Source organism: Homo sapiens, chromosome 17 (assembly GCF_000001405.40).
Source record: "Homo sapiens chromosome 17, GRCh38.p14 Primary Assembly".
Classification (NCBI taxonomy): Eukaryota; Metazoa; Chordata; class Mammalia; order Primates; family Hominidae; genus Homo; species Homo sapiens.
In genome coordinates this window covers 40,885,309-40,909,980 of record NC_000017.11, presented here as the reverse complement: position 1 = coordinate 40,909,980, position 24,672 = coordinate 40,885,309, and the positions used below count along the sequence as shown (strand labels likewise).

Sequence of the window (24,672 nt, the reverse complement as noted above, 5' to 3'; positions counted from 1 at the left end):
AGAAAAGAAAAAAAAAAAGTCCATCCCGTACTATAGATATTAGAGCAGGAGAAAATGAGTTGAAATTACAGCAGAACAGTCAGGCCTATCTCTGTCAATATCTCTGACAATTGAAGGGGGCAGGCTATTAAATCTAAAGTTGAGAGGGCCTTGGCCCCTTCGCATGCTATTAAAGATGACTGTGGGTCATTTCAAAAACACCTGGATGGTTTAGAATAGGTGCAATCATTTAAAAGATTGAAAAGCATCTGCTTTTCCCCCAGGTAATTCATGTTTAGGGAACAAGTTAAAAATAGAAGATATATTTTGCTTTTCACTTTTAAAATTGTATAGCTTCCCAAATATTTTTCAAGATAATTGGTCAGCTGTTGCTCACTCAGAAGTAATGCTGTTCTTGGTAAAATGCCAATTTGAACAGAGAAAGAAGGATGGTAATGGTGACTCACAAACCAGTTTCACCCGGAGCCTGGGAGAGGGTGCTGCGGCCTTTTGGAATAGGAAGGCCACGAACACCCCCTGCTGGCTATAGGGCAACATAAACCCGAACTCATCCTTTTTCCTGATCCAAGGCTCGGGTTGGACAAAGATCAACCATACAAGTCCTGTGATGGAATCAAGGAATATCAAACATTCATAATTCATGCCCAAGGGATGGTAGCATCTTGAAATTCAAGTAGTTTGTGTTACATGTACAGCAGCAAAGAACCACTACTAAAACAAGAGATAACCAGGTTTTCAATTATCTCCCTTAAACCTCCTAACCCCATTTAAAAAAAAGTTTTACACTACAGCCTTCTACATCTCATTAAACACAATTCCTGTAACAATGAAAAAAGAACTTTCTTCATCGTTTGAAACAGATCCTAGCCAAGGGTCTTGTTCAAAATAGTTTTAATCATATGAAATTGCCAGGATCCTACTCTGCTGACCCCTACAAAAGGCAACCTGAATAGAATTAGTCGGTCGACAATTGACAAAGATATGCAGGAGAGCCTGCAGCTGTGATGAGGCTGCCCTCCTTGACTGATGGACACAGGGATTGTAGGCTAGGGACTCAGGACACAGCCCTCTGTCCTCACAATTTTCCTGAGCCTCCTCTGAATTCCTCTGACTGATGAAAATAGAGGCTGGGATTTCAAGTATCTTTTTCTCATTTAGGCAACCCTGCTCCACATGATACATAAAAATTTTTAATTAAGCTGTTTTTTTTTTTCCTTTTTAACACCAGTGTCCCAATAAAGAAGCTTCAGGAAAGGGGAAATGTTAAAATCGTGATCCTGTCATTGCCTCACTCTCTGAGGCTCTAAGAACAGGAATGTTTGCTAATAGATGGAGGAAAGGCCCTGTTGACTGTAACTGTGGGACTGCATGGGGATTATGCTACACAGAGCAGTGGAAGTTGAGGACTGAGGCTGGGATAGATGCAGACTGTGTCAAAAAAAACAAAAAAAAAACAAGCATTAAGAGGTCAGGGACTTCTGACTTGAAATCACAAGGGTCTGAGAAGCAAAAACATTTTAAAAGGTAAGAATACTAAGCAAATTAACATGTGGACTGGTGCATGTATCTAAATTTTGCAATAAAATCAATGTGAACCTGGGTTTCATGACCACAGTGGCCCAAATAATAAGCCCTTCTGTTGGCCCATTTTTCAGAGGAGTGTCACCCACACACACATGAGTTATAGGAAGAGTCTGAAGTCAAATAACAATTAAAGAAAAAGGGTAGGACAGCAACTCAGTCCCACAATTGTCTTTTTAAAATTAGGCAGAAATTTAAAAGCAAATTCTAAGTAGACTAATTTGAAGGATAAAGCGAGGAGAAAGTATGGGTGCCCATACCCTGAGCTCATCAAATACTTTGATCTATTTCTTAAAATGCCCATGAGGACTTAAGGCAATGGACTCTAACTTAAAAACACAAAGAACTATGGCATCTGATTTTTCAGACTTGAAAACACTGTGACCCAATTCCATCCTCCAGGATATGAACACAGCACGCTTTATAATTCAGTAATAGCCTGAATTATATCCTTAGCCTACAACATTACGTCTCCCAGGAGATTCCAATATGCAGTTTAAGGATGAGGACCACTGGCTGAAAGGTTTCTTTTGAATCTAATTATAATTCAATATAAAACTGGGGATAGAGGCTGGGCACAGTGGCTCACACCTGTAATCCCAGCACTTTGGGAGGCTGAGGCGGGCAGGTCACGATGTCAGGAGATCGAGACCATCCTGGCTAACACGGTGAAACCCCATCTCTACTAAAAATACAAAAAATTAGCCAGGTCTGGTGGTGGGCGCCTGTAGTCGCAGCTACTCGGGAGGCTGAGGCAGGAGAATGGCGTGAACCCGGGAGGTGGAGCTTGCAGTGAGCCAAGATTGCACCACTGCACTCCAGCCTGGGGGACAAGAGTGAGACTCTGCCTCAAAAAAAAAAAAAAAAAGAAAAGAAAAGAAAAGAAAACTAGGGATGGAAAGAAAGGAATGAAAGAGGGAAGGAAGGAAAACAGGAAAGGAAAGGAAAGAAAAAAGAAAAGAAAAGGGAAGGGAGACAGAGAGGGAGGGGGGAAGGAAGAATAAAGAAAGAGAGAGAGAGAAAGAAAGAAAGAGAAAGGCAAGCAGGGAGGGAGGGAGGGAGGGAGGAAGGAAGGAAGGAAGGAAGGAAGGAAGGAAGGAAGGAAGGAAGGAAGGAAAGGAGGGAGGGAGGGAAGGAGCTCTACAGCCACACAGCATATCCATCCGTTACAGGAGCAAATAAGAAAGTCAATCTTCCAGCAGAGGAAGCCAGAGCTAAATAAACACTTTAAATGTCATGAAATAAGACTTCAGAGCCCAAATGTTCCATTTTCTATTCAATAATACTATTTCCTTAAAGGTCTTGGTAACAGAGTTACCCCACGTATCTTGACCCCATATCCTGTGTTCATTCCCAGAACAAAGCTGACATGAATGATTCTTGTATGATCATTTACCAACAGAAACATGCAATCAAATTTCTTATTTTAATTAAGAAACATGGCACAATACATTTTAATTGGTAGTAGACACCATAAAAACAAGAAGGATTAAAAACACAAAGAAATGTCTTCCTCTTTAAAACAGATAATTTGGACTCCTCCTGTTCATCCATGCATTCACTTAATAACCATGGACAGCGTGCTTTCTATGTTAGATGCTGTATCCCCTAACACCCCTTTATAGCTCTTCATTGAGGTCTAGATATTTTGGCCCATGCTTCGGATGCAGCATTTCATGGGACACCCTGATGGATCTCCTGTGCTGTGCTTCCTTCTGTGGCTGTGGGTGCCACGCTGGAGCAATGCTTAGGAGGAGCGGAGTATTTCCAGGTGAGCCCCTACACTCACTGCACCTCCCATGCTCACTCTTCAACACACATTTGTTGGTAAAGGTCCAGTCCTCAAGCTTCAAGGTTTAGAAATTTTATTTTACCAAGGTTGGTCAGGAGCTAAGGGAATGGAGCCAGCTAAACCCAAGGAACAAGAAGCCCCCGTTCATTTACAATGGAAGTTGTCTTGCTGTTGTTTTGCCATTATACCATGAACCTGTCTTGGAATCAATGTGCCTGCACACTGAATTAGGTATCAGAAAATTGGTGATCATGGAATAAGGTAAAGGATTGAAAGGCATTTTTCTTAGGAACGCTTTTATACTGTTGGTGGGAGTGTAAATTAGTTCAACCATTGTGGAAGACAGTGTGGCGATTCCTCAAAGATCTACAACCAGAAATACCATTTGACTCAGCAATCCCATTACTAGGTATATACTCAAAGGATTATAAATCATTCTGCTATAAAGACATATGCAGACATATGTTTATTGCAGCACTGTTCACAATAACAAAGACTTGGAACCAACCCAATTGCCCATCAATGATAGACCAGATAAAGAAAATGTGGCACAGATACACAATGGAATACTATGCCGTCATAAAAAAGGATGAGTTCATGTCCTTTGCAGGGACATAGATGATGCTGGAAAGCATCATTCTCAGCAAACTAACACAAGGACAGAAAACCAGACACCGTGTGTTCTCTCTCATAAGTTGGGGTTGAACAGTGAGAACACATGGACACGGGGGGTGGGAGGCGCATCACATACTGGGGACTGTCGGGGCGTGGAGGGCTGTGGGAGGAGAGCATTAGGACAAATATCTAATGTAGATGACAGGCTGATGCGTGCAGCAAACCACCATGGCGCATCAATACCTATGTAACAAACCTGGATGTTCTGCACCTGTACCCCAGAACTTAAAGTATAATATAAAAAATAGAAAGACATTTTTCTATGGAATGTGAAGGCTACTTCAGTACCAAATAACAGTCTCTTGTGATGAGAGCACCATGTCTGCCAGGCGGCATCTGTTGCACAGCACTCTGCTGTGTCTTCCAGCCTCTGCCTCGTTCCCACTTCAGCCGGGCGTTCCTGCTTACATCTGTGGCAAGCTCTCAGCTAGCTTCTCCTCCCAGACTGAGAATCCTCCTAAACTGCACCTCTTGCCATTTACCCTCTAGGGGACAATAGACTTCTTCATCTTGTACCTGGGTGATACCAGGCTCTCAGAATTCCTAGGGATCAGAGGGGTGGGTAGAAGGACAGGTGGATCAGGTAGATGCATGAAGAGAGGCAACGCCAGTTACTCAGACTCTGCCTGGGCTACCAGAGTCCTGAGCTTCTTGCCCCCATTCGGGAGGTGTTAGGGGTCTCACTCCGAATCATTACTAGTTTGTTCTTTAGCTTTTATTTCCATTTCTTCCGTGTGTGTGTGTGTGTGTGTGTGTGTGTGCTGCCACTGATACTACTTTTCCCTCTCAGCGATTAAAAGAAAAAAAGATACATTTGAAAAAGTGGTGTATTATCTATTCTGTTAATATGATGTCAGTATTTATGAGGTGTGGTCTTTGTGCCTCTTTTTAAAGATATAAGGAATTACTCCATCGCCAAAGTTCGGTGGCTTCTCATATCACAGAGTAAAAGGCAGGTTCCTTGCTGGATGATGGCATCCACATCCCTCACCATTCACCTCCGAATTGCTGAGGTCCTTTCCACCACCCTCCCTTCCATCCCTGAGCACCCCCACATCCCCACTGCTCCACCCACACTCACACCTAAACTGCTATAGACCTTTGCACCTGAGCTGCCATATGGCTCTTTTCTTCCTGCTGTCATTCAAATACCACTCTCACAGGGAGGCCCATTCTCATCTCTCTACACACAAGGGCAACTTTCCCAGCCCTCCCCACCCTTCCTTTTTCTCCTCTGACCTACTCCCTTCACCTCTAGCTCCCACCCCTGAATCTAAGTTCCGCCAGGGCAGAAACGTTTGTGTTTTTTTAACTACTGTATCCCCAGCATCTGCAACAAAACCTTGCACACACTGATATTCACACAGACTTGTGAATTCATGAATGAATGCGTGAGTGAATGAATGAATACATCATATACTATACAAGGTTCATAGTAAAAAATAGCAGCCCCTGGTGTCCCCACTCCTGAATGTTTCTCTCTGAAATCTTTTAGCTATTGTTTCTGGTATTAACCTGCATATCTCTAAGGAATATGCTTACACTGCTATTTCTTGTTTTATCAACTTAAGACGTTAAAGACCGGGCACGGTGGCTCACGCCTGTAATCCCAGCACTTTGGGAGGCCGAGGTGGGCGGATCACGAGGTCAGGAGTTGGAGACCATCCTGGCTAACACGGTGAAGCCCCGTCTCTACTAAATATACAAAAAAAAATTAGCCGGGCGAGGTGATGGGCACCTGTAGTCCCAGCTACTCGGGAGGCTGAGGCAGGAGAATGGCGTGAACCCAGGAGGTGGAGCTTGCAGTGAGCCGAGATCACGCCACCGCACTCCAGCCTGGGCGACAGAGCGAGACTCCGTCTCAAAAAAAAAAAAAAAAAAAAAAAGAAGACATTAAAGACCTAAATCCCCATTGTAGAAGATGGCATCACAGGATTCTTACACCATCTCACACCTCCGGTTGCCATTTCTCTACCTTTCCAGTGTGATTACATCACATTGTCTTATAATTTACATATATATTATCTGTATGGGGTTTATATCCCTTTGCTAGAATGAAGCCTTGTCAGCAGGAATTTGTGTTTGTCTTGCTCACGGAAGTATCCTCATGGCCTAGAACAGTGCCAGGCCCTCAGCAGGTACTGAGTAAATATTTGTGGAGTGAATGGATGAATTCTGAGATTTATGGGCTGTGACTTATCCACCAGTTACTCATCGCTGCACTTTAGGGATGCGTGGGCCACCTCCATGTCCCTGTGCTTTTCCAGCTTGGACTCTCCCTCAAACTCTGCACTTTCAGGAAAACTTCAATGACTCCCTCCCACCCAGCTTTACTTGGGGATCCTTCCTCTATATCCACAAATCTTTTCGTGAACATTATATATAATTCCCGATTAGTCACCGTCTCCGGCTAGGCTGCCGCCTCCTCGGAATCATGGACTGTGTCTTGATTTCTGAACCCTATTGGCTATCACAGCATCCCACCTATTGTAATTGATTCTCAAGCAGCTATGAATGAAGGACACACAGTCCCTGCTTGCCACTTGGAGGCAAGAAAGAAACGACATCTTCCTGTTCCTGGTGAGCCCTAGGGTGAGTCACTTCACCATTTACAGAGATAACATGTGGCTCGATTGCTTCTTCTTTCACTCTTCACTTCCCCAGGTTAATAATTGCCAGATCATGTCATACTCTTTATTTTTTCAACCATTTCACTTCTTGCCATCCCTTTCCATGTCCAAATCTCCCTCAGAAATAAAAATAAATTTCAAATTAGTCAGAGCATCGTGACTTCTTTCAAAGTTAGAATTACTGCCTTATGAAACATGTGATTCAATGTGGGGCTCCGCTTGACAAGATCAAGCATTCTAAACTAAAATGTACAACCAGTGGAAATATCTTCCTGCTCCTCGACTACTGATACTTTACAGCCATGGTTCTCCAACTTTACCATGCATCCGAAGCACTGGAAAGACTTGCTAAGATGGAGCCACAGATTGTGGGGTCCCACTCCCAGAGTTTCTGAGCCAGATAATCAGAGTCTGGGAATTTGCACTGCCACAAGCTCCTGGGTGCTGCTGATGCTGCCAGTCTGAAGCCCACACTTTGAGAACCCTCGCTTTCCCATAATGCTTCAAGAAGTCTTAGGCACTAAGTTGATGCACCTGTGAAGGGGTTAGATTTCCCTCCTCCCTTCCCACCACCGCCAAGATAAGTAGTTGCTGAGTGCAACATTACAGCACTTCTTAAACTCTAATAGGCACACAGATCACCTGTAGATCTTGATAAAATACAGATCCTTATTCAGCAGGTCAGTGGTGGCGATGGGTGTGGGGTGTGGGGGTGGCCTGAGATCTGTAATCAGCCCCCAGGTGAAGCCAATGTGGCTGACTCTCCGCCTAAACTCTGAGCTGCAGGCATTACAAATTATACCAAGTCCATTAGTATTAAAAGAAAGTGACTTTCTTAGGTCTCAAAGCTTTGAGTAGTTTTTGATTTGATTCAGGCATTTGATTCAGGTCTGAGCTCTGAAACTACTAATATACTTTCTTTTTTCCTCATGAGTCATCTTGAGAATATACTTTTATTCTTTGTTTAACATTTTTACAACATAGAAACAAGTTAACATTTTTAACTTTCACCCATATAAAACTTCCAACATGAATGGGCCCAGCTGACTCATTGTCACTGCCCAGAGATCTCTGAGCTCTATTCAAACACTGCAGATAATTGTAAACCTGGAGACAAGGTTGGGAGGGTGGGGCTGTTTATCCTTGTTGATTGAGAAACCTACTCTTTGTCCTGTGCTGGTGTTTTGTTACATAGTTACAGCACTTAGCCTTTCATTGAAATCCTGCCTCAGAACACCATTATCTAATGCATTATTGATCTCGATTCTCCCAAAGGCCTGTGTTATCTCTTTTTTATTTCTTAAGCTATAAAGAGATTGTGGTGATGGGGAAGTGAAAGAGAAAACACCTCCCAAACCTACCTGATCCAGCTGATCCGGGACATATCCCTTTTTTTTTTTTTTTTTTGAGATGGAGTCTCTCCCTGTTGCCCAGGCTGGAGTGCAGTGGCTTGATCTTCGCTCACAGCAACCTCCACCTCAAGCAATTCTCCTACCTCAGCCTTCCAAGTAGTTGGGAATACAGGCACGTGCTACCACATTTGGCTAATTTTTGTATTTTTAGTAGAGATGGGGTTTCACCATGTTGGTCAGGCTGATCTCGAACTCCTGACCTCGTGATCCGCCCGCCTCAGCCTCCGAAAGTGCTGGGATTACAGGCGTGAGCCACCGTACCTGGCCCAGCACATATCCTTTATATCATAATGTTGTGAACACATATATACATACATATGTGTATATATACACCCACCACATATATAATATATACCCACACATACATACACACACATAAAGAGAAAATGCCTCCCAAAACCTACCTAATCCAGTGTGACTCTTACACCTGCAGGTGGATAGTAAGTGGACATTTAGGGGAGGCAGGACAAGCTACATAATTTTCAGGGCTCGGTATAAAGCAGGCATGCCGGACCCAATTGTCAAGAATTTCAACACTGCAACAGCAGAGCATTAATCCAAGTGCCAGGCCCTTCCAAGCTCACGTGCTCATGAGGCTAACCCTAGGGGAAGAACTCTGACATAACGAAAACCCCATGAATTTGGAAGCTCTCACTCTCTTCCCTTCTTCACTCCTTTCTCCCTTTCAAAACATATGTCAGAAAAGAAGAGCTCCAATGACAATGGTGATGTCATTTGTTCTGTGGTTGAATAAACACTCGTATCTCATCTTTGTCCTGTCTCTCCTTCATTTTCTGCCAAATAGCTCAACCTTCCGACTAAGAAAAACCCAACTAGATCCCACTGGTTCCAACAAGGGCTAAACTGAACTCTACCTTTGGTCCGACTATGATAAGATGGTTTACCTAATCTATGATGAGGAAATGTACTGCACAAATATGACTAGAAGGGAGGGTGTGCAGTTTCCTCAAATGAGATTTTCAAGTCATCAGACAGCCCCTCTCAAACTCTGAGGGCTCACCATGGATCTTGTTACAATGCAAATTCCAATTTAGGAGGAGTGGAAGGGACAGAGGGCATATCTACACTGTGAAACTGTGAGGCCAAGGACCATACTTTGAGTAGCAGAGCTCTAGAACTACCCTGTCCCTTAAGGTAGACACTAACCACAGGTACCTATTGAGTCCTCGAAATGTGGCTTGTCTAAATAGAGATATACTCTGAGTGTAAAATGCACACCACTTTTCAAAGATGTAATTCAAAAAATAAAATAAATATCCCATTAAGAATTGTATATTGAGTCTATGTTTTGGATATATTGGGTTAAACAAAGGATATTATTAAAATTAATTTCACCTGTTTCTACTTTTTTAATTTGGCTAGTAGAAAATTTAAAATTACCTATGTGGCTCAGTACTGGACAGCACTCTTCTAGGAGGTCAGGTGGAGCTTGAGTTATCCATCCTCTCCATTTCAATATGAACTCCTTGGGGCAAAAGCACGGAACCAGCCCCGGACATCACCCAGGGAGGTGAGTTCATCTCTTATGGTCTCATCCATCAGGTTTTCTTCTCTGGCTCTCACCACCCCAATACAGACACACACACACAAACACACACACACACACACACACACACACACACAGAGGAGTGGGAAAGACTGGAAGACAGGACCTTGTCTTATCCATCTTTCTGTCCTCAATGCCCAGTACACAGTCTATTATCTTAAGTAATCCATAAATATCTGAGATGTGGATCCTCTATGTAAATCATTCATGGCTCCTCCCACTTATACTTCTGGGTCACTGTAAATGTTTGAAAGTAGTCATGTGTTTTCTCAATTATATTTTCCTCCGGGTTGTCCTTCAGCTTACCTTGTACTAGCTGCACAGGCTCAGTGAGCATCCATGACACAATGCTACTAGCTCAGTGCATACTGAAGGGTAAATGTTAGTGGCCTTTTCCTTGCCACCACCACCAAGTTTACAATTACAGTACTTCTACTATGATCACGGCTGCCACTAAGAAGCTACACCTCACTGGGTGCTTCCTACATGCCAGGTGCTGTACCTGCACTTCAGATATGGCATTTCATTTAATCCTCACACCACCACCATGCTGGCCATTATTATGGTCTTCCACTTTCCATATGAGGAAAGTGAGGCTCAGAGAGGTTATGAACCATGCCCAAGCAAGTAGCAGAAATAGGATTCAAGTCCAGATCTCTAAAGTCTGTGTTTTCAATCCTGGGTATCTATAACATTAGCAGAGTGCTCAGAATCATCAGTGGAAAAAAGAGGAAAAAGTGAAGTGGGGTGGTTTTGAATAGCACATGAATATGCACACCAGGATGGAGGCATTCTTTCATTTTTTCCTTTGGTCTGTTGTTAAATGTATGTATATCGTATTTCCCAATAAATTAGAAAATGGAAAAAATAAGTCATCAACCTTTTTTCTCTAAATCAAGGAACATAGAAATCTGACATATCCTTTACATCAGAATGTTGTGAACACATATATACATATATATGTGTATATATACATACACTGCATATAGGTAATATATACCCACACATACATACACACACATAAATTGTAACCAGACGCACATGGTAGTAAAATGTGTGCTTTTAAAAAGCCACTGGGTACATCTCTAAGAAAGCCTCACATGATGTAGTAACAAAATGAGCCCTGCAGTAGGGAACAAAACGAATTATTGGTATAGATCAATAGTTAATAACGGTTCAGCTACTAACATGGGGCATGTCAGAGTAACACACTGGGCAAATACACTTACAAGGAGAAATACAGAAGAATAATCCAAAATAAATTACCAATGAATTGTTTTATGATAAAAGCATAAGTTTTGGAATGGTCTTTAAAAGACAGATTTAAAATGTTTGAATCAGGCTCGGGTTTGAAGCCTTTTTTTTTTTTTTTTTTCAAATTGACTTTATTCTTTTCTCATTAAAAGAGCTGTTCCAGGCTGGGTGCGGTGGCTCACACCTGCAATTCAGCACTTTGGGAGGCCAAGGCAGGTGGATCACTTGAGGTTAGTTCAAGACCAGCCTGGCCAATATAGTGAAACCCCATCTCTACTAAAAATACAAAATTTAACAGGGCATGGTGGTGCGCACCTGTGATTCCAGCTACTCGGGAGGCTGAGGCAAAAGAATCACTTGAACTTGGGAGGTGGAGGCTGTAGTGAGCCGAGATCACACCGCTGCACTCCAGCCTGGGCAACAAAAGCGAGATTCTGTCTCAAAAAAAAAGAGCTATTCCATCCCAAAAAGGTTTTATGATGATAGTTTTACTTTGGGGATTATTACCTCTGTATATTAATATCTCAGTACAATTTTAAAACACCAATGCTTTAAAATAACACACAAACTACTGTCACCAAACCAAACCAGGTCCGTTTGCCCTCAGGCAAAGTTAAGTCAAGCACCAAAGCACTGGGTTTTGGCAGTGAGAAAGGTTTATTGTGAGTAGACTGACAAGGAAACTGAAGGAAATGCTCAAATCTGTCTCCCTGAGCTTGAGGCTAGGTCAGGTTTCATAACCATAGGGTAATGAGGATGATCTGATCCTGCAATGAGGTGATGCTGGGAGGCATGATCTGACTGGACCCTGCCATGGGGTGTCCGCTTCTTAATTCAGTCCCCACTCCTTAGTCCAAGCACTTAGGTTCCTGCACACTTGGTTCATCTGGGCATGCTCAGGGGGTCCATGGAACTGAAAAACAACTCACAACAACTCACAACTCTGTAACATAAAAGTTGAACCAGATCAGTCTGATGACGTTATGCTACTTACTAAGTCCATGTTGATAAAACTGAAAAAATACGACCTTTAAAATCTTTCTTGTAGTTCTACCAAAAGAGATTTCATTCACATTTCCACATCAAAAATGTTGGTTGGATAATTTCTGGGATACTAAGAAATAAAAAGGCAAAGACAAAATGATCATAATCATTATAACAAACCTCAGTCTTTTTTCTTTTTTTTTTGAGACAGAATTTCGCTCTTCTTGCCCAGGCTGGAGTGCACTGGCGCAATCTTGGCTCACTGCAACCTCTGCCTCCCAAGTTCAAGCGATTCTCCTGCCTCAGCCTCCTGAGTAGCTGGGGTTACAGATGCCCACCATCACACCGAGATAATTTTTGTATTTTTAGTAGAGACCGGGTTTCGCCATGTTGGCCAGGCTGGTCTTGAACTCCTGACCTCAGGTGATTCACCCACCTCAGCCTCCCAAAGTGCTGGGATTACAGGCATGAGCCACTGTGCCAGGCCCAGATCAGTCATTTTAATACGAGATTGTGACCAGCCAGAATAACTGGTTTCCATTTTTGCTCTTCGATTGATTGATCATTGTATCTAGGGTCAAATTTGCTGTATAGTTTTTCAGTTTTAACAATGCTAAGGCCCTATGTCAGTGTAATCAAGGGAAAGAATCTAAATTAGATATTAAAAACCTGAATCCAAATTCTGGTTGAATGCCATACTTATTACGATCAATAAACATAAATGGTGGCTCAACACACACTGTAGTAAATAATGTGCTTTTAAAAAGCCACCAGATAAATCTCTAATACAGCCTCCAATGACTTAGGAACAAAATGAGTCCTGCTGTAGGGAAGAAAGTGAATTATTGGTATAGATCAAATTGCCTAGAAACATCGTGTGTCAACATTAATGTCAGTTCCTTGGAACAAATATATTGCTCCTTAATTACTCCATGCTTTCAGATGATAGCTCATTTCACAGAGATGCATTTATTTTGAAAAAGTATACATAGCTACCAGCCTGTACACTCTGTCAACATAAGGGTTGGCCATAAAAACCTGTTATATTTTACTCTGGGCAGCAATTATTTAATATCCCTCAACATATGTGTCAAACGCATAAGAAATTGCTCCAGGCTTTTCCACATTTTCATTGCTTAAAAAAGTAGAAAACGCCAAACAATGAGGCCTTCATAGAACCTGAGGCATCAAAAATATTAGCTGCATTGTGAAAGCCAAATAGGAGCAACTTATTCTTAAAAAAGAATACAATTAATAAACCACATCTCCATTGACACCTAGTAAGTCCCCAGCAAGGTGTAAAGCCCCGGATTTATAAGGCTACGAAACATATTACAGGAATAAAACCCTAAACCACAAAAAGGTGTACTGTCTACAACGGTTGTGGTCACTAGGGAACCCTGTTTCAACGCTGATGCTTCTCTGCCTTCCCTTTTCTAAATCAGGTTAAATGGGGCTCCTCACAGTGGAGCTGTTCCTCCTGACCCTCTGACACCCCAAACTGGACTATCCCCGGACTGATTACCTTATCACATGCTATTTTCCAACTACGCAATGAACATATCACCTGGCCCCCTAAGCCTGCAGATTGACCTGACTCATGCAATTATTTTTGTTGATTTTTTAGAGACAGATTCTTGCTCTGTTCCCCAGACTGGAGTTCAGTGACACAGTCACCACTCACTGCAGCCTCGACCTTCTGGGCTCAAGCAATCCTCCCACTTCAGCCTCCAAAGTAGCTGGAACTACAAGTGCGTGCCACCGCACCCTGCTATTTTTTTTTTTTTTTAATGTTTTGTAGAGAAGGAGTCTCACTATGTTTACAGGGCTGGTCTTGAACTGGATTCAAGCAATCCTCCCACCTCGGCTTACAGGCGTGAACCACTGCGCCCAGCCTGCAATTATTTATCTTCAGAGTTCCCTGGGGTCCGGCAGAAGAAGTACTAACAAGGGCCCATAGGAAAGGAGCAAGCAAGAATCCCTGGGAAGTGCTGTGAAAAATCAGGAGGAAGTGAGGCTGAAAGCCGAAGAAACCGGGGAAGGCTTCCTAGCAGGGTGGCTTTCAGATGTTTTCTCACTGTTCTGCTCCCACATCCCACAGACCCTCATCTTCCTTACCAACCACGTTAAAATGTGAGCGGTCTTTATTTGGAGTTCTCTGACTCTTTCAGAGTTAAGACACGAAGAGATGGAATGAATGTGACCTTTATAGCCTCCTTTCCTCCCTTCTCTACTCAGTGGTTCCTTTCCAGCCCACCTCTGCTCATTTCCCTGCCTCAGGGCCTTTCACATGCCGGTGCTTCCCATCCAAGCCCAGATCACACCTCCAGGAAAGGTCTGGGGGTGAGTAAGTGCCCTGCTCTTCCCCACCTGCTCTAGGACTCCAGATCCTAGGGAGAGGTTGCACATCTTGCTCTGAAAGCCACCCCTCTAGAAAGCCTTCCTGGCTTCTTCAGCTTTCAGCCTCACCTCCTCCTGATTTTTCACAGCACTTTCTAAGGACTTTTGCTTCCTCCTTTCATACATGCCCTTGTTAGCATTTCCTCTGCCAGACCACAAGCTCCTCCAGAGCAGTGTCTGACCACCCAGGAGGCACTCAGCAAATCATAAATAGTTTAATTTGCCCAGATACGTTTCTGTTTTTAAAAACCAGTTGTCAAAACTTCATTTCATCTTTTGCCAACTGCCTGACTCAGAAGACGTTGATGTTCGTTTGTTTGTTTGTTTGTGTCTGTTTGTTTGTTTGGAGACAGTGTCTTGCTCTGTTGCTCAGGCTGGAGTGCAGTGACGTGATCACCGCTCACTGCAGCCTCAATTTGCCAGGCTCAAGGGATCCTCTCACCTCAGCCTTGCGAGTAAATGGGATCACAGGCGCGCACTACCATGCCTGGCTAAATTCTGTATTTTTTGTAAAGATGGGGTTTCACCATGTTGCCCAGGCTGGTTTTGAACTCCTGGGCTCAAGCAATCCGCTCACCTCAGCCTCCCGAAGTGCTGGGATTACAGGTGTGAGCCACCACGCCCAGCCCAGAAGATGTTAATCTTTACAGGCAGTTTTCCTAAAACCTGTTTATTAATACAACTCTTCCTTGCAAAATTAGGTGTTGGGAAAAGCGTTCTTTCCCTCTCTCTTTCCATCCCTCCATTTCAAGCTCAATCCTGTACTCTGCAACAAATTTTCAATATGAAGCTTCTCTTTTAACCAGTCGGATGCTTTGTATGGTTTGTTTTTCCCTTTTTACTTAAGTGTGTGCACATTAAAAAGTAATGAAATACCCCACCGAGCAGAAATGTGAACACATCTGCCGTTTGCATTCTGAAAAACGAATTAATAATACATCTCTTCATCTAGTCTGATGCATCCATATACATCGTGCCTTGCTCTAGGAGCATTCTGGAGCCAATGATCGCCGCCGTATCTTAGAGCACCTGTTTCAATTTTGTGTGATTAGTAGCACGGGAAGGACCATATTGAAAGAGGAGGTCTCTAGCCCCAGGTAGAAACAAAAATGTATTGAGTATAGACCTTATATTCACCTTTTAAGCAGTAATTTCGTTGATGAGAGTTTTGTTTATACATCAGGATGTTGTTGCCAAGACAGTTTTCCTGGGTCATGCAAAAGCACTAAAAATCAATTTGCAGAGCAAATATTATGTAGCTTAATCTCAACTTTCTATATTTGTACCGTTGCTATAGGCAAGTCATTAATCTGCATATGCCTCAGCTTTTCATTTGTAAAATGAGGATGGCCTACATGACTTTCAAGGGCTCTTTCAGATATGATAGCCTATATGGTTCTTTGTATTTAGAAACAAGCCTCATGAAAAATAAAAACACATGGTGAGTGATTTGTCACTTGCTTACTTGTTTTCAAAAATAGTAAGTTTGGGTTGTCCAAGTAACATAAAAGCATATCAGAAAATTAAATCACTGATGATTTCTCCCTTAGAACATAGTCTAAAAAAGTTCAATGCTAATTGGTTATTACCATTTAGTTAGCTAACAATATTATAGCCTATAGCTAGGCAATATTTTCTAGAGCTTTCACAAGCACCATAAATTCTACAGTCTTCAGTTATCACAATGAATGAAACGCTCAATGATGTGATAATGCAGCAGTTTAGAGAGAAGAAGCCTCCAGGCAGCAGCAAGGGCTATGCAAGATGGCAGCCTCTCCCAGGAGATGCTGTTTCCTGTGGTCTGTCTGTGCAGATTTGACTCTGGAGTTTTGGAAGACTGAGTGAACTAGAATCATGGTGGTAATTTATATATGAGGGATAAACATAAGAATCATCAAGACTGGCACCGGGCATGGTGGCTCACACTTGTAATACCAGCACTTTGGGAGGCCGAGGTAGGTGGATCACCTGAGGTCAGGAGTTCGAGACTGACCAACATGGTGAAACCCCATCTCTACTAAAAAATACAAAAATTAGGCCAGGCGTGGTGGCTCACACCTGTAATCCCAGCACTTTGGGAGGCGGAGCTGGGCAGATCACCTGAGGTCAGGAGTTTGAGACCAGCCTGACCACCATGGAGAAACCCCGTCTCTACTAAATATACAAAAAATTAGCCGGGTATGGTGGCACATACCTGTAATCCCAGCTACTCAGGAGGCTGAGGTAGGAGAATCGCTTGAACCTGGGAGGCAGAGGTTGCAGTGAGCCGAGATTGCACCATTGCACTCCAGCCTGGGCAACAAGAGCAAAACTCCATCTCAAAAAAAATATATATATATATAAAACTTAGATGGGCATGGTGGCAGGTGCCTGTAATCCCAGCTACTTGGGAAGCTGAGGCAGAAGAATCGCTTGAATCCAGGAGGCGGAGGTTGCAGTGGGCCAAGATCATGCCATTGCACTCTGGCCTGGGCAACAGCGCAAGATTCTGTCTCAAAAAAAAAAAAATCAATAATACTGGAGAAAACCTTTCCTACGTACCTTATCAGTACCTTATTATGCACTCCCAGCCTGGTCTCCAAATCAGAATACTCAACAGTCTTCCTCTTCATCCAGGTCTCCTCCACCTAAATCTGACACAAGTGCTACAAACTTGGCATTTCCACAAACACACCATGTTTCCCTTTGCAATGAGATTCTGTCATTTGCAACAACATGGATGGAACTGGAGGTCATTATGTTAAGTAAACCATCTCCCAAACCATCTCCCAGTCCTGTCCCAGTGTCCCCCTTGCCATGGGGTACCACTATCACCACCCAGTCATTCTCATCTCATCCTATTCCCCATGTCCCACACCCACTCATTCCACAAAGGAATCAGGGCCAAAGCCCATGCACACACTATACCCAAGAAAGAGAGACATGCACAGGAGAGATGAACGGGGTGACCAACTGTCCTGGGACTGACTGTCCCAGTTTTAACTCTGAAAGTCTCACATTGCAGAAAGCTCTGTGTCCTGGGCAAACCAGGACAGTTGGTCATCCTGGAGGGAAGGAATTTGAGAGCACAGGGATGGCTTCCTGGAAGAGATGACATGCAGAAGAAGAGAAGGGGATGGAGTATACAGAAGCATGGAATGGAGGAATCAGTGGTGTGTGTTACTGGAGTGTGCCATCTGAGGCATGGAGGGGTGACCAGGGGGTCTAAAAAGGTAGGCAGGAGCTAGATCTTTGAGAGCTGTATATTGGACTTGACTACATACTGTTGTCAGTTTTTTACAGAAGTGAAATAATCAGATTTGCATTTTTAGGTAGGTGTTTGAGACTGGACCTCAACGTTCATGAACTAATGATGGCTAGAAACAGGTGCTAATATTATTTTTAAATTGTCAGTAACTTCTTTACTATGATTCTAGAGGTAGGAACTAGAATTAGTCTTGGTGACAAATTATTCTTCTGTTTTGGGAGGAATTCAGTTGGGCTCTCTCTTAGTCAAGCTTGTGTAAAATAAGTACTCACTTGTCCTTGGCATAACACTGGACATGGGCAAAATAACACGGATACGGAGCCAATTGCAGGGGTGAAGAGGACCGTTGAGCCTGTGGCTTCCCAGTCAGAGATTTAGGATGTTAAATCCAAATGCAGCCCTATCTGGTTTCAAACGTCACCTCTGGGATGAAAAGATTATATCCATCTTGGCTAGGCACAGTGGCTCACACTTGTACTCACAACATTTTGGGAAGCCGACGCAGGAGGATCACGATTAAGATATCCATCTCATCCGTTGAAACTATGCCCCCACACTGGACCACGTAGCCTATAGTACACTAAAATAAGTTAGTATTTTTTAAATAAATCTTGTGATTGGTACAGGTTTATTGTATTATGAGATTTTGTGTTGCAAATGGTAATGTAAAGGAAATATAAACACTTTAAATTTTTTTCAATTGTTTAATATACCAGGAGCTTCAAAAATTGGAAATGGTCTAGATGCCCCTCAGACTCTGAAAGGACTTGCAAAGGAGTGTGCATCAGAGACAGGAGGAATCTGTGACCATCATTTGCAATCTACATTATCTATATGTATATCTCTTAAGCATACATTATTTCGTTTTGCCTGTTTTTATACTATATATCAATAAAATCTGGATGGATTCTGTTGTCTTTTTTCAGCATTATGTTTTTTAATATTTATCCATGTCAATAATGTAATTTATCTTTTTTTTATTTTTATTTTTTATTTTTTTTTATTTTTTTTTTTAGGCAGAGCCTGGCTCTTTTGCCCAGGCTGGAGTGCAGTAGCATGATCTCGGCTCACTGCAACCTCCACCTCCTGGGTTCAAGCGATTCTCCTGCCTCAGCTTCCCGAATAGCTGGGATCACAGGCGCCCACCACTATACCCAGCTAATTTTTGTATTTTTAGTAGAGACGGGGTTTCACCATATTGGCCAGGCTGGTCTCGAACTCCTCGCCTCAAGTGATCTACCCAACTCAGGCTCCCAAAGTGCTGGGATTACAGGCATGAGCCACAGCGCCCAGCTAATTTATCCATTTTTAGCTGTTGCATAGCATCCCACTGTACGAACATGTATCAACGCATTTATTCATTCTACTCTTAACATTTGAGTTGTTTCCAGTTTTCTGTTGTGTGTGTGTATGTTAGTACGTGTGTGTGTTGTTAATATGAACAATGCTTCTGTGAATATTCTTGTACATGTCTATCGTTCAATATTTACAAGAGTTTCTCTGAAGTGTACACCTAGGAATTGTTTGCTGAGTGATGGCTATATGAATGTTCAGCCTTCTAAGATAATCTCAAACTATTTTACAAAGTGATTGTACCTACTTATACAGCTAACATGAATGGACTGGAATTCCCCTCGGCCACCTTGCTATCGTCCAACTTTTTAAATTTTTCCGATTGGCAGATGTGGAATGGGCCATTCAGCTTTCCTCTTCTCTGCAAATCTATTCATATTTTGCCCACTTTCTCACTGGGATGCTTTTCTTTTTCTTATTGATTTGTAGGAATTTTCCATATTCTGGAAACTAATTGCTTGTCAGTTACATGACTTCTAAATATCTGCTCCCTGTTTGAGGCTTTTTTCATTATAATTATGGTATATTTTAATGAATAAAAATTGCTAAATCAGTATCAATTTTGTACTTCACAGTTTTCACTTTTTGTGTCTTGTTTAAAAATACTCCTTTACTCTAATTCCTAGAGATATTATTCTGTGTTTTCTTCTAAATGTTGTATAGTTTTTAACTTTTCACATTTTTATCTTTAATGAATCTGGAATTCATTTTCTTATATTTTAGGTAAATTTTGCCTTAGACAGAAATACAACTGCCATTTGTTAAATATGGGATACTCCATTTCTTTCCTCATTGATTTGAAATGCCCAAGCCGTACAAAATTAGTTTCTATAGGCAACAGATCTGTTTCTGAGCTCTTTGTGCTAATTCACTGGCTTATTTCCAGATCATTGTAAGAGCCATCATGTGAAAGGCAAAACCATAAAATTAGAAAACATAATATGCATTCTTTTTTTTCTTCAACTTTTATTTTAAGTTCAGGGGTAAATGTGCAGGATGTGCAGTTTTGTTACATAGGTAAACATGTGCCACGGTGGTTTACTGCACAGATCATCCCAACACCCAGGTATTAAGCCTAGCGTCCATTAGCTATTCTTCCTGATGCTTTCCCCCCAACCACAGGTGCCAGTGTGTGTTGTTCTCCGCCATGTGTCCCTGTGTGGAAAATATAATATGCATTCTTAACCTGTCAATATCTAAAGTTAATCTGTATGTTTGCTGTTTTCCTAAACAGTCCCGCAATTTAGAACAATTTAACTCCATTCATCCCCTTCCAGCCCTCATCTACTTTAATTCCATATTGTTTTTTCTTCTCAATAGATATATTATTTTATAGCCAATACTTGTCTTTACATTTACATTTGGTCGCATGCTTAGCACTCTATTTGTTCATTATTTTAATTCTTTTATGCATCTCAGAACTTTCATCTGGAATCATCTTCCTTCTGCTTAAAACACATTCTTTCAGATTGCTCTTAGTGAAAACTTAGAAGTTGATGGCAAATTCAGTTTTTTAAATGTTGAAAATGGCTTTATTTTACCCTTCTTCAAATATAATGTTACCGAGTCAGAAAATTCCGGAATGGCAGTTATTTCCTCCCAGCACATTGAAGATTCTATTCCATTTCCAGTGTCCATTGTTGCTTTTGAGGAGTCAGTCATCAGTCTAACCACCATTCCTTTGTTGGTGATTTATTCTCTATCTGCTTGTAATTATCTGGTTTTCTGCCTCAATGTGTGTAGTGATTTATTTTTATTCCTTTTGCCTGGAATTCATTAGGTCTCCTTAATCTGAGAACTTGGGTTTTTTTTAAAGAATTCTATAAAATTCTCACTTTTTATTTTGTTGAATGTTTTCTTATTCTCTTGTGTCTTCTTCTGGAACTCTGATTAGACATATTTAGACCTTCTAATTATAGCCTTCATGCCTTCTTGACTTCCTCCTTCGTCACTTAGCTGCATTCTGGAAATTTTCCTCAGAGCTACATTTTGTTCAATAATCCTGGCTTAATCTGTTCCTGGATCCATCCACTGAACTTGTAATTTTAACGGCATTATTTATTTCCTCTGGTTTGTATTTCAGATCTGCTTGGTACTTGCTCCAATTTTAAGTTTGTTTTATTTTCTAAAACAATTTATATTTATATTCTTCATCCAATCATTCTATAGCCACTATGAGACAATAAATAAATCCATCCAACTCATCAAAACACAGCTGAGAATTACCAAATAAGTACAAACAAAAACCTAAATATGACTGATTAACTGTGCAGAATACAATGATGTAAGTTTACTATACATCAACCTCCTTGTACCCATCTCCTCGCTTCAACAAATAACTCAGGGCAAAACTTCCTTCATCCATACTTCCACCCTCCTTCTCCCTGTCTGAACAAGATGCCACTCCAGAGACTGCAGGTTCTATGTCTATCATATGTGATTGCAATAGCTTGGTCATGGTAGAATACAAAAAAAAAGAAAAAAGTTGAAAGCCCTCTGAAAACTGTAGTGCTTATAATAGCCTTCCCAACTACTGGCCATACTTAATATTAATCATTAACACTCTCAGTAGAGTGTCTCAGAAGTCAAAATGTATCTCCTACTAGCTACAAGGAAGTTGGGATCTAATAAGTATTTATTTACAGCTGCAGTCACCCAACAGCCTGAAATACCAGGGTCTCTAAATTCATGACTTTGTGTATGAACAAGGGTCAATAGGATCTTTACTCAGTCCTCGAGATATAACTCAGAAAAATGAATTGCTGTGAAAAACTCACTTGATTTCCTGTGGTCACATTATAAGATCGAATAATCTACAAAAGTACAAAACTCAGTGATATAGAGAAGCCAGCAAATTCTCCTGCCCTTATATAAACAGGTGGGAGGCTTTCCAGTAGAATTTTTTCTACTCCAACAAATTGGTAGATTGAATGACTATACCTCATAATGATGACACTATTGTATCATATTTTAGTTTAAATTTAAAACCTCAAAAACTTACCAAAACTAGCCAAAGATTTCTGGAATAAGATATAGACAAAGTTATTTCTCAAAAAAAAGAAAAAAATTGGCTGGGCCGGGTGCAGTGGCTCACGCCTGTAATGCCAGCACTTTGGGAGGCTGAGGCAGGCAGATCACAAGGTCAAGGGATCAAGATCAGGCTGGCCAACGTGGTGAAACCCCATCTCTACTAAAAATACAAAAATCAGCTCGGCGTGGTGGTGCCCACCTGTAATCCCAGCTACTAGGGAGGCTGAGGCAGGAGAATTGTGTGAACCGGGGAGGGGGAGGTTGCAGTGAGCTGAGATCATGCCACTGCACTCCAGCCTGGTGACAGAGCAAGACTCCGTCTCAAAAAAAAAAAAAAAAAAAAAAAAAACGGCTGGACACAGGGGCTCACACCTGTAATCCCATCATTTTGGGAGGGTGGGGTGGGAGGATCACTTGAGCTCAGGAGTTTGAGTCCAGCCTGGGCAACATAGTGGGACCCTGTTTCTACCAAAAATAAATAAATAAAAATTATGTAAGCATGGCGTGTGTGCCTGTAGTCCCAGCTACTTGAGAGGCTGAAGCAGGAGGATCACTTGAGCCTGGGAGGTCAAGGCTGCAGTGAGCTGTGATTGTGTCACTGCACTCCAGCCTGGGTCACACAGTGAGACCCTGTCTCAAAATAAAAATAAAATGGAAAATAACTAAAAATGGGATTTTCAACTCTTTGATATAAATAGGTCCAGCCATAAGGAAGAATTGTGCTACAAAAGAGAACAAAAATCATCATGTTTAACAACTGCATTCATGTTCTTTTCTAATTATAAAGCTAACTATTGATTTTATAATGCTTCTACACACCTTGATCATGTGTTAGCATATGAAACTCTTAGCTGAGACCAACTTACTATAAAACTTGTGTAATTTAAATAGTATAATTTTCCAATGACTTTAATCTAACAACCTCCTACCCCATTAATCAACACCAAAAACAATTCATCTTTGAATACATGTATAAAGAACATAGTTCATGTGTTTATAAAAAGTTCTTCTCTGCTACAGAGTTTAGCTGTGACATCTATTAACAAAGTAATTTATAACTCTAATAAGTTAGCAAGGTCTTCTTGCTACCAGTCCAGTCATTGGTGGTGAGTACTCAGTATTGGCTGATGAATACATGAATGGATAAAAATATAAGAGCTGCCCACACATATACCATAAAATGCATAAAATAGATTCCATTTTATCTCAATTTTTATTTCTGTGATATAACTAAGATAAAATCAAACACAATGTATTATTTTAAAGTATACTGTTTATAAGAGAGAAATAATATGATCTGACCTTATTTTAGAAGAAAGTTGTGTGTAAAAGAAATTTAAACTCAAAAGTAAAAAAGCCACTGGTTTCTAAAAACTCAAAAAAAATTTTTTTTAAGTGACTGGCTTTCAGAACAACAGCAACAACAAATAAGCCACTAAAATAAGACAATTAAATTCCAATTTTTTTTGCATTTACTTGCTTGCTTAATTATATACAAATCTCAATTCCATTAAAGTATCAGGATGACAATTAATTAGATGTTTTTAGTGACTTTTCCAATCCCTTCTAATTAACTTGGAAGTGATTAACTGATTATCTAATTATATTAATTAGTGATTATCTAATTAACTAAGGAAGTGATTTACATGCTTCATGGGAAGTGTGAATTCTCAGCCAGGGGGTTTGAATGAAGGGAAGCAAGTGACTCAGGCATTTATTGGTTGCTTACAATCAGATTCCCACCGATGAGATCATGCCCATGTGTCTAGAGGTCCACACACAAGCAGCTGCCTCCAGCCCAACCCTGGAAGCTGAGTGTAGTCCCAAGTCCCCGCCTGCACCCCTTCCTATATAAACAGCCACTCTCGCTGTGATTATGGGGGCATACAAGGAAGATCAGGCTTCCATGGAAGCTTCTGCAACTGAAATCCACTGGGGACTTTAGAAGGAGCACCTGTAAGTAGCTTCAGGATGGATGGGGCAGAGTCTGTCTCATGGTGGGTGTTAAGCTGGCCTCATACAAAAGAGGAGACCCATCCTGATACCATGCCAGGTACAAAGCACTGTGTGATTTATTCTAAGTGTCTTGGTAACAGGACTTGAAGCCAGGTGGTGACTGGAAACCTAAAATGCAATATTTAGTCATAGAACATTAGAAATAGAAAGAAAATAACCTCCCAAATCATCTAATCCATCACTCAGCTAAATTCATTTAATTCACATCCCCAAACTACATCTCCAAATGTACAATGGTTTCATTCCTGGTTTAGGGATTCGAGGTTTTGTGTTTGTACAAAATATTTTAATAGTCTTATAAAATAAGATGTCCAAAACACAATAAACTTAAAAGCCAAACACAAGCAAAGCATGAAACAGAGGTTCTGAAGAGCAACTCCTCAATACAAATCAAACATTGTCCTTTATCTCCATTGTGACTTTCAGTTATGTAGGCACATCTGCCTTTTTAGATACCTAAATTATACATGAGGATTGTAAATATTCTTTGTGTGTATGTTAGGATGAAAAAAACCTGCCAAGGCAGGCGCATGGGCTAAAAGAATACACTTTCCTGTTTCCTTTTATTACCTGTTTAATTAAAAAAAAAAAAAAGTTGCCCCTGATAAAAGCCTCCAAGAAATGCCTCTAGTGGTATTTTCTGGAATTGAATTAAGCATATTAACATATTGCTATACAAAGCGGGGGGCGTGGAAGTAAGGCAAGGTGGACTGTGGTGCCAATCCTAGTGA

General features: G+C 41.3%; 1 long non-coding RNA gene across 1 annotated transcript in view; it reads right to left on the bottom strand.

Annotated features, from left to right (window-relative positions):
• Nucleotides 1-24,672, bottom strand: part of LOC105371777 (uncharacterized) — a 70,694-nt gene that overhangs the window by 11,511 nt on the left and 34,511 nt on the right. The window lies entirely within an intron of this gene.